This window comes from Homo sapiens, chromosome 4 (genome assembly GCF_000001405.40).
Source record: "Homo sapiens chromosome 4, GRCh38.p14 Primary Assembly".
Classification (NCBI taxonomy): Eukaryota; Metazoa; Chordata; class Mammalia; order Primates; family Hominidae; genus Homo; species Homo sapiens.
The window spans coordinates 42,470,080-42,483,740 of NC_000004.12; the positions used below are offsets into that span (position 1 = coordinate 42,470,080).

Here is a 13,661-nt window from a genome sequence, read left to right on the forward strand (position 1 = left end):
TCCACCGTTGCTTTTTCTTCTTTGGTAGAAGAGACTCCATGGAAAAAGACTACGTATCCAATGTGTACTGTAAACGTCCCTTTCTCTTCCCTGTGGCTCCACAAACAGAGGGTGGTCCTTTCTGATACAACCTAGACGTGCACTGAGTGCAATATGCTTTTCAGATATTATTTTGGCTGTAGTTTCTGCACATGTTATTCATTATTTTTCTTATTTTCTATGCAGTAACTCTCACTGCCCTGTGAACGTTAGATCAGAGCACTGGAAATTTTTACCATTTAAGCTAAGAAGTATATAGGTGGTCCATCTTACATGAAGCTTGTTTTGCACTCTTAATGGGATTAGCTAAATGAATCACCTTTCTAAATGAAATATGAAGAATATATGTACATATATATAATAGATGTATAATAAAGGATAATTTAAGGAATTTTTTATAGGTAGCCAAAAGGAATACAATAATTTATCCACTGGATTGTGTTTTGGGATTAATAACCTAAAAAATTCTTACATATACACAAAATTATACTGATAATATAATATGATCTCAAAGACTTATACTGGAAACTTAAAAATTACTATGAAGTTGCCTTTAGAAGGTAAATCTAGAAAACTTTTTAGAAGAATATGAAGGAACATAGTATTTTCTAGTTCTCCTGAAGTGTTTTATATAGTGACCAAGCCCAGTATTTACTAAATTTCTTTAACTTCCTCAAACTTTAAATTTGAGGTCTGCTCCAGGTGCCTATTTAGAGGTCAGAATCATTAGTGAGGGGATCTGCTGTGCTTTTCTTTGCAACAAACTTCCTAAGATTTCTCCTGTGAATATCAGTGTATTTCCAACTGACTCATATTTTGTTGACTATTTACAGAAATTACAAAAGGAGAGAAAAACGTAAACTAGAAGATCTTACTTGAATCCTTCTGAACTAAAATTTGGCAGGTTCATTTATAAAATTTCACATTGAGAAAAAATTAAGATACAGCAAAAAAAAACCTGATGTACAAAAACTACAAAATATTGTTAACTCCTCTAGAAGCTCACCATCAACTTGTTACTTGGAATGAAAACAGCAGCTTACATAGCAAGTCTTAAAAATGATACTTAGCAATATGGTACATAATGAAACATTCAACCACTTCTTACCTAGAAGTGCGCTATTCAAATGACTGATGAGTGAGAGCTCTCCTAGCCTCCAAAACCAACATCTGTTGATATACTGTGCAGTCATAGGCATTCAGGAGACCTTACAATATAGAGACTGAGTCTACAGAAATAAAATACAGATAGCCTTTCCATAGGACAAAAAAGGAAAGCAAATTTAAAAAAGATTTCCTTTCTGCAATGCATTTTAGATATAAAACCTCTCTTTTGTAGAATTTATGTGGTTATAGGTAAACGTACTGCCTTCTGCTTCAATGATTCAGATAAGTAGTTTAAATAGGGACCGTTTCTATTGATGGTGTGTATTTGATTATGCATGTATGTGCATGTGTGCACTAATTAGCAAATAGACCTATGAAAGGCACTAAAAAGAGAACTCCGCCTAGTATAGATATTTATTATGGTGTTCACACAAGAAAGCTTAGTTTATCTACAATATTGCTGTTCATTTTCTCTTCAGAAAATATCATCTAGTTATATTGAACCTAGCACTGTACTCAGCACAAGGCAGAATTAAAAATGGTAGCAAGCTCTTCCTAGGCTGGCGCTTAGCAAGGAGAAGGCCATGTTCATTTCAAGCACCAAGACTGTGAAGCCCAACAGCGAGACGCCAAACGAGTTAAGAGTCCGGCATCTTTCAGGCTCTTCTGGAGCTGGAGATAAACTCGGACCTCAAGGCTCAGCTCAGGAAGCTGAGTATTACAGCAGCCAAAGAGCCTAAGTTGGTGGTGTCCAGAAAGCTATCATAATCTTTGTTCCTGTTCCTCAACTGAAATCTTTCCAGAAAATCCAACTCTGGCTAGTACGTGAATTGGAGAAAAAGTTCAGTGGGAAGCATGCTGTCTTTATTGCTCAGAGGAGAATTCTGCCTAAGCCAGCTTGAAAAAGCCATACAAAAAATAAGCAAAAACATCCTAGGAGCTGTATATGACACAATTCTTGAGGACTTGATCTTCCCAAGTGAAATTGTGGGCAAGAGAATCTGTGTGAAACTGGATGACAGCCGGCTCATAAAGGTTCATTTGGACAAAGCATAGGAGAACAACATGGAAAGCAAGGCTGAAACTTTTTCTGGTGTCTATAAGCAGCTCACAGGCGAGGATGTTAATTTTGAATTCCCAGAGTTTCCATTGTAAACAAAAATGGCTAGTAAATTCACAGTTAAAAAAAAAAAAAGGTAGTGGAACCAAATAAATGGAAATGTTACAAGAAAGAGAAATTTGGCCAGGAGCAGTGGCTCACGCCTGTAATCCCAGCACTTTGGGAAGCCGAGGTGGGCGGATCACGAGGTCAGGAGTTCAAGACCAGTCGGGCCAACATACCTGTCTCTACTAAAAATACAAAAAAAAATTAGCTGAGTGTGGTGATGTGCGCCCATAATCCCAGCTACTCGGGATGCTAAGCCAGGAGAATTGCGTGAACCTGGGAGATGGAGGTTGCAGTTGCAGTGAGCTGAGATCGCGCCATCGCACTCCAGCTCAGGTGACAGTGCGAGACTGTCTCAAAAAAAAAAAAAAAAAGAGAGAAAAAGAAAAAAAAGAGCATGGTTGAGGCAGTTCCTAAAAACATTAATTTGGATTGACCAAAGTATGTTTTATATATATCTGAATATGATCTAGGAAAAGGACAATGAAAATGAAAATAAAAACACAGAGGGCCCCAAATAAAAGTGGTTTCAAAAATGACCCTGAGGTTTCAAATTTGGGTTACTGGGAGAATGAGGGTCTAAACGTAAATGGAAAAGGCAAGAAGAATATTGACAGCGGAAAAGTATCAGGGAAGTTCTAGATACTCAGAAGTTTAGATAGTAGTGGGATACTCTGGCAGACTCATTTAAGCATGCTGACTGAAAAGTTGGAATTGGACTTGGAAAAGAGTGTAGAGTTGGGAATGTGCCTCCAGGTGTCATTGATTCAAGTATTTACTTAAGTATTAAGTGATCCTTTAGTATGTGATTAAAGCTCTGCGGAAGAACACAAGGAGAATAAAGCAGATCTCAGGATCTTTCTTCTGCCCCCAAGAGTTATTAATTTAAGGACTTTTATTGAGGTACTGTCCCGGGAGTTAAATATTGACAGCCTATATGATAGTAGTCCCTCTCTGTACACCTGCTCTGAAGAGACAGAAATTTTTCCTGCATGGATCAACGCCATGCCACCTCTCTATTTAGGGAGCCTTGCCAATGGGACTGGTGTGCTCTCAACTGGGAAGCACTTCTATTCAAGAAGGCCTAGAGTGCTTCCCCTTTCAGCTCTACCCTGTTGTGAGCTTGGTCTCAGAGTGGCCTCCATTCCCTTCCCATTCCCAGTGTCTGACTGGAGCACACATGCCCTGTGATCTCTTTTCCTATGACTCTGGGGAGGTAAGGAAGGGATAAAGTTTTTTTATTTATTTAATTAAATTGATAAATTAATTTTTTGAGATGAGGTCTTGCTCTGTCGCCCAGGCTGGAATGCAGTGGCACAATCTTGGCTCACTGTAGCCTCAACCTCTTGGGCTCAAGTGATCCTCCTACCTCAGCCTCCCGAGTAGCTGGGACTAAAAATGTACGCCACCATGCATGGCTAATTTTTGTGTTTTTTTTTTTTTTGTAGAGATGGAGTCTCACTATGCTGCCCAGGCTGGTCTCGAACTCCTGGCCTCAAGCAATCCTTCCACCTCAGCCTCCCAAAGTGCTAGGATTACAGGTGTGAGCCATCATGCACAGCCCAGAGCTTGTTTAGGCTGGAAGAAAATCAGCTTGCTCTTCTCTGCCTCATGACCTTCCTATGTTGTGTGGATAAGTTTCTCCAAGGAACCTTCTCTCACCTTAAAACTACCTAGTGGAAGGTGGAACAATTGGTCGCACAGACTATTGACAGAAACTAAAATACAACTCTGAAGATGTCAGGAGTTAAAAAAGGAGGCCAGTAAAGTTCAGGGTCATAATTATCAACTACAAATTCAAGAGAAACCTTTGGGGCGACAGGAAGTGGTGAATACTTGGGAGAAGCTGAGCGGCATGGAGGAAAAGAGTGGCATGTGAGGGATAATGGAAGAACACACAGATGGGCAAGGTTTCTGGCTGCATTGTTCCCTGCCCATGGCACCCTGTTTGAGCTGACCAGCATGAGTGGGGTGAGACTGGGCTGGATGGAGCCTCACTCATTCCAACTGTAGAGTTTGGCTTAGGTTTGGAGCTTATGAAATCAAACCCAAAATAACATGCTTAAAAAACAAAACACTCCAATTCCAGGAGTACATCCTCAGTGCCCTAAAGCTAAAACTGCAGAAAGAATTCCTACGCATGCCTTGGAACAGGAAAGCCAGATCTTTTGGTCAACCTGAAGGCACAGAGCCAGGCAGGGACAGGTGCCAGTAATATGGCTGTGCTGACAGACCCCCGAATGCCACCTCACACGGGGAATTCCATCAGAGTGCAGCTGCCTCTAACAAGAGGAGAGCTCAGGTAAAGGCACTAGGGGAAAACAGGGATTTAATGAACTGAGATTGGGCCCTGCCTCCAAATTTACCTAATCAGGACCTAGCTTTTGCTGTTCCTCCAAAGGGACATTAATGCCTGTTAGAAACAATAGGGGAAAGGGTCCCTCACAGAATAGAGTACAAAAGTTTCAAACCAGCATAGGAAAATCTGACCTAGAGAGTGAAAGTTAGGGGGAGAAAAAAAAAAGAAACAAAATCATAATAGATGGAAACCAAAATAAATGGGAAGAAATGAGGTCCAATATAGCAACAATTATAATAACAATATAATGTTTATTTGCACCCAACACATTGAATTCTCAGAACAATCCCATAAGTTATTATTGTCACCATTTTACAAACGAGGAATCCAAGGCACAAACAATATTTATTAAGGTTTAAGGTAAAATGGCAAATGATGAAGCTAGGATTCAATCCCAAGCAGTGTGGATTCAGACACAGCATTCTTTTATTTTTTGGAACAAGGTCTCACTCTGTCGCCAGGCTGGACTGCAGTGGTGCCAACATGGCTCATTGTAGCCTTGACCTCCTGGGCTCAAGTGATCCTCCTGTCTCAGGACCATAGGTGTATGCCACCACACCTGGCTAATTTGTAATTTTTTTGGAGACTCAAGGTCTTACTTTGTTGCTCAGGCTGGACAGACACAGCATTGTTAACCACTATATTATACAGAAGGATTGAACATAAGGATTTGGAGAAAAAACAAAAGACAAGACACATAATGAAACAAAGGAAAGCCAGGTTAGCAAATTAAATATCAGACAAAAAAAAAAAAAAAATTCAGGACATAGAAAAGGCCATAACGGTCAGAGAGAAATCTTTATATATGACAGTATATAATATATACTGTCAGGCAAAATATATATTTCACCTGAAATATTCAATTAGGCTATATAAGAGAAAATTAGATATAATTTATAAGAGCAACAAACATTTGAATAATAGGTGCCACGTATTAGCTCATTTATTCTTCATAACTCTATGAGAAGAACAATTTCTATCTCTATTTTAAAGATTAAAAAACCAGGGCCGGGCTGGGTGGCTCATGCTTGTAATCCCAGCGCTTTGGGAGGCCGAGGTGGGTAGATCACCTGAGGTCAGGAGTTTGAGACCAGCCTGGCCAACTTGGTAAAATATAGGTCTCTACTGAAAATACAAAAGTTAGCTGGGTGTGGTGGCGGGCGCCTGTAATCCCAGCTACTCGGGAGGGTGAGGCAGGAGAATCACTTGAACCCGGGGAGGCAGAGGTTGCAGTGAGCTGAGATCACACCATTGCACCCCAGCCTGGGCGACAGAGTGAGACTCCATCTCAAAAAAAAAGATTAAAATACTAAAACCAGAGAAGTAACCTGTTGTTCAGCTACTAAGAGGTAGAGTCTAGGCTCTGGAAAGTCTGGCCTCAGTTCCTGAGCACTACAGCACAGGGCATACCAGCAGAGGGAAGAAGAGTGGATTGTTTAGTAAATGCTATTGAAAGAATTTGCTCATGATGCAGAAATGAATAACAAAGGATCCCCCCTCCTTCCTAGCATATACAAAAATAAACTCCATATGTGTAAAAGACCTACATGAAAAAACTAAAGCTGTAAAGTTAACAGAAGAGGCGGGGTGCAGTGGGTCATGCCTGTCATCCCAGCACTTTGGGAGGCTGAGGCTGAGTCGGGCGGATCTCTTGAGGTCAGGAGTTTGAGACCAGCCTGGCCAATATGGTGAAACCCTATCTTTACTAAAAATACAAAAATTAGCCATGCGTGGTGGTGGATGCCTGTAGTCCCAGCTACTCGGGAGGCTGAGGCAGAAGAATTGCTTGAACCTGGGAGGCAGAGGTTGCAGTCAGCTGAGATCGTGCCATCGCACTCCAGCCTGGGCCACAGGGTGAGATTAAAAAAAAAAAAAAAGTTAACAGAAGAACATGCAGGAGTGGGAAGTCCTTTATATCCCAAAAGTGCAAACCATAAAAGGAAAAAATTAGTGGAGTTTGACTATGTCAAAGCCAATGATTTCTGTTTAAGGAAGGGTATCACAGGCAAAATTAAGAAGGGAGCCAGCCTAGAAGACACCTGCTACATCAATAATCAACAACAACAAAAAATCAATGTCCAGAATACACAAAGAGTTCTCATATACAAGCAGGAAAAAAGAGAAGAAACCCAACAGAAATTTCAGTATCCCTTTCCCTTCTTCAGCGTACTACTTTTCTTCATAGCAATATTACCACTGATTTTATATATGTCTGTTTGATATATATCAATTATTACCATTCACACATACACAAGCACACACACAGCAATTATTGTCTTTTGAATATTTGTGTGTATATTTACTGATGTTATTGAACAACAGCTATGATGTGAAGGCTGGGATTATTTTTTTCCCATTGTTCACCGCTCTATTTCTAGTACTTATTAAGGTTACTGGCACACAGGGAGCACTCAAAAAACACTTGCTGAATGAATAAGTGAATGAATAAATTTCAAAAGCAGAAACTGAGAAAGGTAAATACTCCTGTGAGATGTTCAACCTCTCTAGTAATCAGAGAAATTAAAATCAAAACAACAAGGCGTCATTTCACAACCATCAAATTGGCCAAGTTATAAATTCAGTAATACTATGTATTGTTATTAAGGTAGGGAAACAGCAACTCTATTCCATGGATCTGGGATGGCACACTAGTAGAGTTGTTTTGGAATAATGTGGCAATTCTGATGGGAAAGAATTATACATATACGCCACAGCCAAGCAATCCCATACCCATCCCCCTCTCTTTCTCTCTCTCCCCATGTAAGAGTTTTCTCCTAGAAAAACTCTTGCCTGGGGGCATACAGAGGATATAGATTGCAGTACTTTTCATTGTAGCAAAGATTTGGAGGAAACCTCTGTGGTATCCCTATGAGAAGAGATAAATAAAATGATGTATATGCATTAGTGTAATAACAAGCAGTGATAAGAATAAACAAACTTGGCTAGGCGCAGTGGCTCACGCCTGTAATCACTGCACTTTGGGAGGTCTAGGTGGGAGGATCACTTGAGCCCAGGAGTTTGAGAACAGCCTGGGCAACAAAGGCAGACCCTGTCTCTAAAAAAAAAAAAAAAAAAGTTTAAAAATTAGCTGGGAGTAGTGGCGCAGGCCTGTTATCCCAGCTACTCAGGAGGCTGATGTGAGAGGACAGCTTGAGCCTTGGAGGTCGAAGCTTCGGTGAGCTAAGATCAGGCTGCACTCCAGCCTGGGCAACAGAGCAAGACTCTACCTTCTCAAAAACAAAAACAAACAAAAAATAAATTCGTTCTACATATAGTGACATGGATATGTCTCAAAAACATGTAGAAAAATAAAGGTAAAAAATTTTTTTGGCGGGCGGCTCATGCCTGTAATCCCAGCCCTTTGGGAGACTGAGGCAGGTGGATCCCTTGAGCTCAGGAGTTTGAGACCAGCCTGGGCAACATGATAAAACCCCATCTCTACTGAAAATACAAAAACTTAGCTGGGTGTGGTGGCACGCATCTGTGGTCCCAGCTACTTGGGAGGCTGAGGTAGGAGGATCACTTGAGTCTGGGGCTGGGGGATGGCGTACGTAGAGGTTGCAGTGAGCCAAGACTGCACCACTGCAGTCCAGCCTGGGTGACAGAGACTCCATCTCAAAAAAAATTATTTACTGGAGTGTCATTATAAACACAAAGCTTTTCTTCAATTCAATACACATATGATAGATATTTTTCACAGAATCACATATATACAACTAAAGTACAGCAAATGGATGGGAACATATGAAACACTTGAGAATATTTTTTCTAAGGTGAAATAGAATGGGACTGGGGATAAGGGGAATACACACACAAAAAAAAAACCACATAAAAAAATCAAAGAGCCACTTGCTTTAGTTCAAGACTCTAGGGAGATGGCTAGCTTGCAAATCTTCCTCATTCTTTTGCTAGCATGTCCTCTAGCACCTTGCTGGGGGTTTTCCTAGAACAGAGGGAAGGCACCGCAGTGACCGAGCAGGGTCAGATATTTATGGCCCTGGGTTCTTCCTTTCTGTCCTGCTGCTATGTGTAAGTATGTATTGACACCTCATTGTAAAACAAATTCATGTCCTTATTTTTAGGGATTTTCTTGGTTCTGATGGCATGGATAAGTTTAATGGAGCCACCAGATTGTGCAGCTGGCACCATAAAAAGAATGTCCATTTTTTCAAGGAATTGTGGAGAAAGCCAGTGAGGAGAGATGAGGAAATGTTTCAATTTTTGAGAAAAGAAAGGAACAGTCTAGAAATTACTCTCCTTGGAGAGACTAGGAGAGCTTAGCATGAATTCCATCAGTATTGCAGGAAAGTTCTGTTTTAACTACCTCCTTCCATGTTCATTCATGAGCTACAGACACTTTATTATGGCCCCAGGGCTAAATTTAAGCAGCAGTGGTTTTTGTTACTTATAGTCTTATTGGAACATGGCCACACCCATTCATTCACAAATCATCTAGAGCTGCTTTCATGCTACAACTGCAGAGTTGAGTAGCTGTAAGGGAGAAAGCTGCATGGCCTGCAAAGCCTACAGATACTTACTATCTGTCCCTGCACAGAAAATATATGCCCCACCTTGCTCAAAACACCAAGCCCTTCTTTAACTTGTCCTAAGTCAAAATGGCTCAGATCCGTTTACTGAAAAGGAAGTAATCACTGGAAACCATCATGGGTTCAGGGAGAACCAGTTACACAAAGCTAACTCTGCTTCCCTTTCCCACACAATGAGGTCAGTAGGCTGACAGGTCAGAGAAATGCCATAGGTTCCACACATCATGTTCTTAGCAAATCAGAACTGTCAGAGAACCGTAAGCAATCCATTAGGCAGATTTGTATTTCACTGAAGAACAGAGGAGAGTGCTGATGTACTGATGACTGATTTTGTAAAGCTTTGGGGAGGCCTTCAGTAGAAAGCTACAGAGCACTGCATTTAAAATTTGTGGAACAGAAAAGAGTCATCAAGAATTTGGATGTGGTTGTGGAAGGTATATATGTTTATTCAAAGTTAGTATGAAACAAAACAGTAAAATGAATAAGAGGGATGGTGATGGAAATCAAGGTAGCAGTTATCTTTGGGAGGCTCCTCAACTAAAGGGAGCATGAGGGGCTTCTTGGGGGCTGGTCCTGCTTGGGTGCTTGTCACAGGAGTGTGTGCACTTTGCGAAAATCCCAAGCGGGTGCATTTATACTTTATGTACTCTCCATTACGTGTTACCTACCTCATTAGAATTATGTAATCTGCAGTTCTGCTTGTGTGTGTGTGTGTGTGTGTGTGTGTGTGTGTGTACTGGTGATGGTGGCAATGGTGATGATGGTTTACCTAAAAGGAGTCACACCTAAAACTGTAAAATGTTGAATTACAGTAGGCTTCTGTAGCATTTAGATTTCTTATATATTTTTAGACATTTTATTGTCAAATATAGACTTACCTGGTGGTGGTCATCATAATTGGCTAATAGGCTGTAATATAGCCATTGCAGTTCCTTTAATACTACTCAGTCAAGGTGGAATAGCAAAGGAGATGGACAGGGCTGAGCAGATGATTATTATGTTAAAGCAAACTATTGGCATTTTATGAAGTTATAAAGTGTATTCAGTGTGTCCTCTTTTAGCTGTACACGTATGAAAGAAATATTCTCTCAACATTTCCAACATTTATTCATATTTTCTTGGAAGCAAATATAGGGTTGACATTCATTAACAGTTTGTAAAAGTCTTTTCAAAGCCAAACATCTGCTTGGCATCCAATGGTGTTCACAAATTTTTTTCCTTAAAGGAATGTCTGTTGAGCATTTATTAGCTTCATTTGTGCTTTATGACTACTTTTTAAGTAGAACATATATTTAGAGAAATTCTTAAAGCTAAAGACAATCTCTAAAGATTTAAGAAGTAGATGTGCCTTTATTTAATGCACTCATGCTATGACAGCAAATATTCAGTGTCCCTTTAGACTTCTTGCAGGACCCCTTGATAGGAGTAAGGTGAAAGGTTTTGCCTGGAATGCCACTCCCAAATGACAACACTCACTGAAGTCAAGTGTTTTTTTATACACTATGAGGAAAATGGCCTAAAAGGGGGTTAAACTTTGATTAGAGATGTTGCAAGTAGGAAAAAATGCTTACTTCAATTTAACTTTTGCTTTTCAGAAGACATGAGTACATAAATTATGTAGAACGATGATTACTAGACAGTCTAAAAGCTGGAGGCTCTAAGCCAATTTTCAACCAACTGTCACAGAACATAAGTTTCAAAATATGTTTAAACTAAACTGACAACTACAGAAAAATGTAAAATTCTTTGAAAGGCTGGGTTATGTGAACTGATGAGGACCTCAGAAACCACATGCTATTTAACACACAGTAATACTTCACTGCAACATTCCCACTCTCTTCTGGAGGGAATATTAAAAGAGGTAGAACAGATGCTTCCCCAAATTAAGCTGATCCCAGCAGTAGAAAGACTGTTCCCAGCAGAGTGGCCAACAGAAGGAAGGTCCATCCACAACCTAAAAGGGCTATGAGAGGTCCTCTGGCCCAGCAGCTTTCCAACCAGGACAAGATAACCCAGGAAGGGGGCATGTGTGTATTTCCCACCCTGCTATGACGAAGCTGGTCCACTTTTATTTGCTTCCTATATCTGGGTTCCCTGGAAGATAGGAATCACTGATATTCCAATCTCTTCATTTTGTAGGTCACAAAACCAAGGCCAGAGAGATTCCATCAGATACCCAAACTGCCAAATCAGTAGAGCTAGAACAAGCATTCTGTGAATCTCTAGATAAAATGCTTTTATACCAATTATACAGACTGTAGGACCAGGGGGCATAAAGCACTGGTCCCTGAGACTAAGAATTACTTATTTAGTACAGTTACTCCCTGGGATAGTGCTTGATTTCAGCTGTATCCATAAATCTCCATGAGTCTTAGAACAAGCTTTTTTCCCTACGTCTACCTCTCCAAGGAGTTTCAGTGAGTCTGTAAAACCCCTGAAGGGCTTCATGAAATTTTACATGTTTGTGTGCATGTGTACTTCTTCTGGAAGGAATGGTCTATAACTTTCATTTATTCTCCAAAAGTATCCGTGATCACACCAAATCATGAGAATCAGTGGACTTGTGTGAGGGAGTAGAGGGGAAGAAGAACCATAAAGGAGCAGTTTATAACTGGGAAAATGAATCAGAAACTATCTATAAATTAGATGCATTCAGGTTATGCAGGTAAATACTCACAATGTTAAAAACAGAAGCTGCACAGTATCTATGAAAGAACAGTAGTTGGCCAGGTGCGGTGGCTCATGTCTGTAATCCCAGCACTTTGGGAGGCCGAGTGTGTGGACTGCCTGAACTCAGGAGTTTGAGATCAACCTGGGCAACGTGGCAAAAGCCAGGCTCTACTAAAAATACAAAAAATTAGCTGGGCATGGTGGTACATGCCTGTAATTCCAGCTACTCGGGAGCTGAGGCACAAGAATCGCTTGAACCCAGGAGGTGGGGGTTGCAGTGAGCTGAGATCGCGCCACTGCACTCTCCACCCTGGGTGACAGAGTGAGATTCTGTCTCCAAAAACAAAAAAACAAACAAACAAACAAACAAAAAAAAAAAAGAAAAGAAAATACAGTGCTGTTAGACTGATACAAACAGGTTTCATTCCACTTCTTGGGTTTTATATACTTAAGAAAAATATTTGAGGCACAACATTCAACCTATACTTTAGAAACCAAAACCACCAGGACTCCAGAGCCCTGAATAAATTTGGGGTGGGGGGATTAGTTCTGTCTCTGAAAATTTCCTTCAGAAAACAGTGGTGAGAGAGACATAATGTCTGCTGCCTGGGAACAACTGTTTCTTTCAATTCAGCTGAAGACTCTGGAGGGACAACACTCATCTTTATAACTGTGTCAATGAGGCAAACACTAAAATCTGCCTCATTCTGCCCTGTATGCTGATAGTATCTGGGAAGAAAGTGGCTGATGCAATCCTGATGATGGAACTAACATGGAGACTCATTATCTGTTATAGGAAGGCTTTCCCCTCTACTTCCACTCCACCTAGGGCTAAAGAGAAGACTGCAGAGGAAGATCAGATTCTGAATTATCTGCATGTGTGTGGAATGACAAGCAGTAGATTGGAAAATAGTTTAAATTTGAGAGAAAAGCCCATAAAGCCAGTATGAACATAAACGAATTTGGGAAACAGTACCAAACTGTATTTAGAAATAATAATCAGTATTTATCTGGAGCGTCTATCTTCTAATGGAGTAAAATAGAGAATTTCCTGAGGCCGGGAGATTGTAATCATCTGAGAAACGAGGAGTGACACTTGGGTTTAATTGGAAAGAATGATACACAGAATGGCCCACCTATTCCTATCCAGGGATAGAAGCATTATCATGGAAATTATATTCTGAGGTCAGTAAGCAAAATGACAAGAAGATGGTCTGTGCCAATAGTTTAAATGCCAAGAGGCACCAGGCCAAGAAGGTGCACAGACATAAATCCGGCAGTGGCACTGATGTAATTATGGGCTTAGACCAATTCTCAAACATGCCAGAAGCTGAACCACAGTCCTTATGGGAAAAGAGAGAGTATGAAGGTAGTTAGAAGAAAAAAGCTGAGGAAAGATATGTGACTTAAGAAAAAAAAAAAAAAAACCTTAAAACTGGAAATAAAACTCAGTGTCTGCGTAGGGACCTCATGGTCTTGAAACATGCATAAAACAGAACCGAGGGAGGAAGGGGCCACACACATCTTTATAAGCTCAGTTTCAGAGCTGAGCCGCACGTGCACGGCAGGGTGTGATTCCCTTCTAGGGACCTGGTGCCTGGAGAAGCCCAGAGGTCCATGTGACTTGTGAGCATCCAGAACAAGGATTTCGGGAGGGAATTTCACAAGCACAGAACATATTTTTTCTCCCTTGACTCTGCTTTCTAGTTTTTTCTCTCCCTCTGCTATTGTTTAATTTTGTGGTTCGACTTTTTGAAGAATGGTGGGAGGTACT

General features: G+C 40.6%; 1 protein-coding gene and 1 pseudogene across 12 annotated transcripts in view; one reads left to right on the forward strand and one right to left on the reverse strand.

The window, feature by feature from the left end:
* Nucleotides 1-13,661, reverse strand: part of ATP8A1 (ATPase phospholipid transporting 8A1) — a 248,733-nt gene that overhangs the window by 61,707 nt on the left and 173,365 nt on the right. The window lies entirely within an intron of this gene.
* RPS7P7 (ribosomal protein S7 pseudogene 7) lies at nt 1,696-2,314 on the forward strand (annotated as a pseudogene).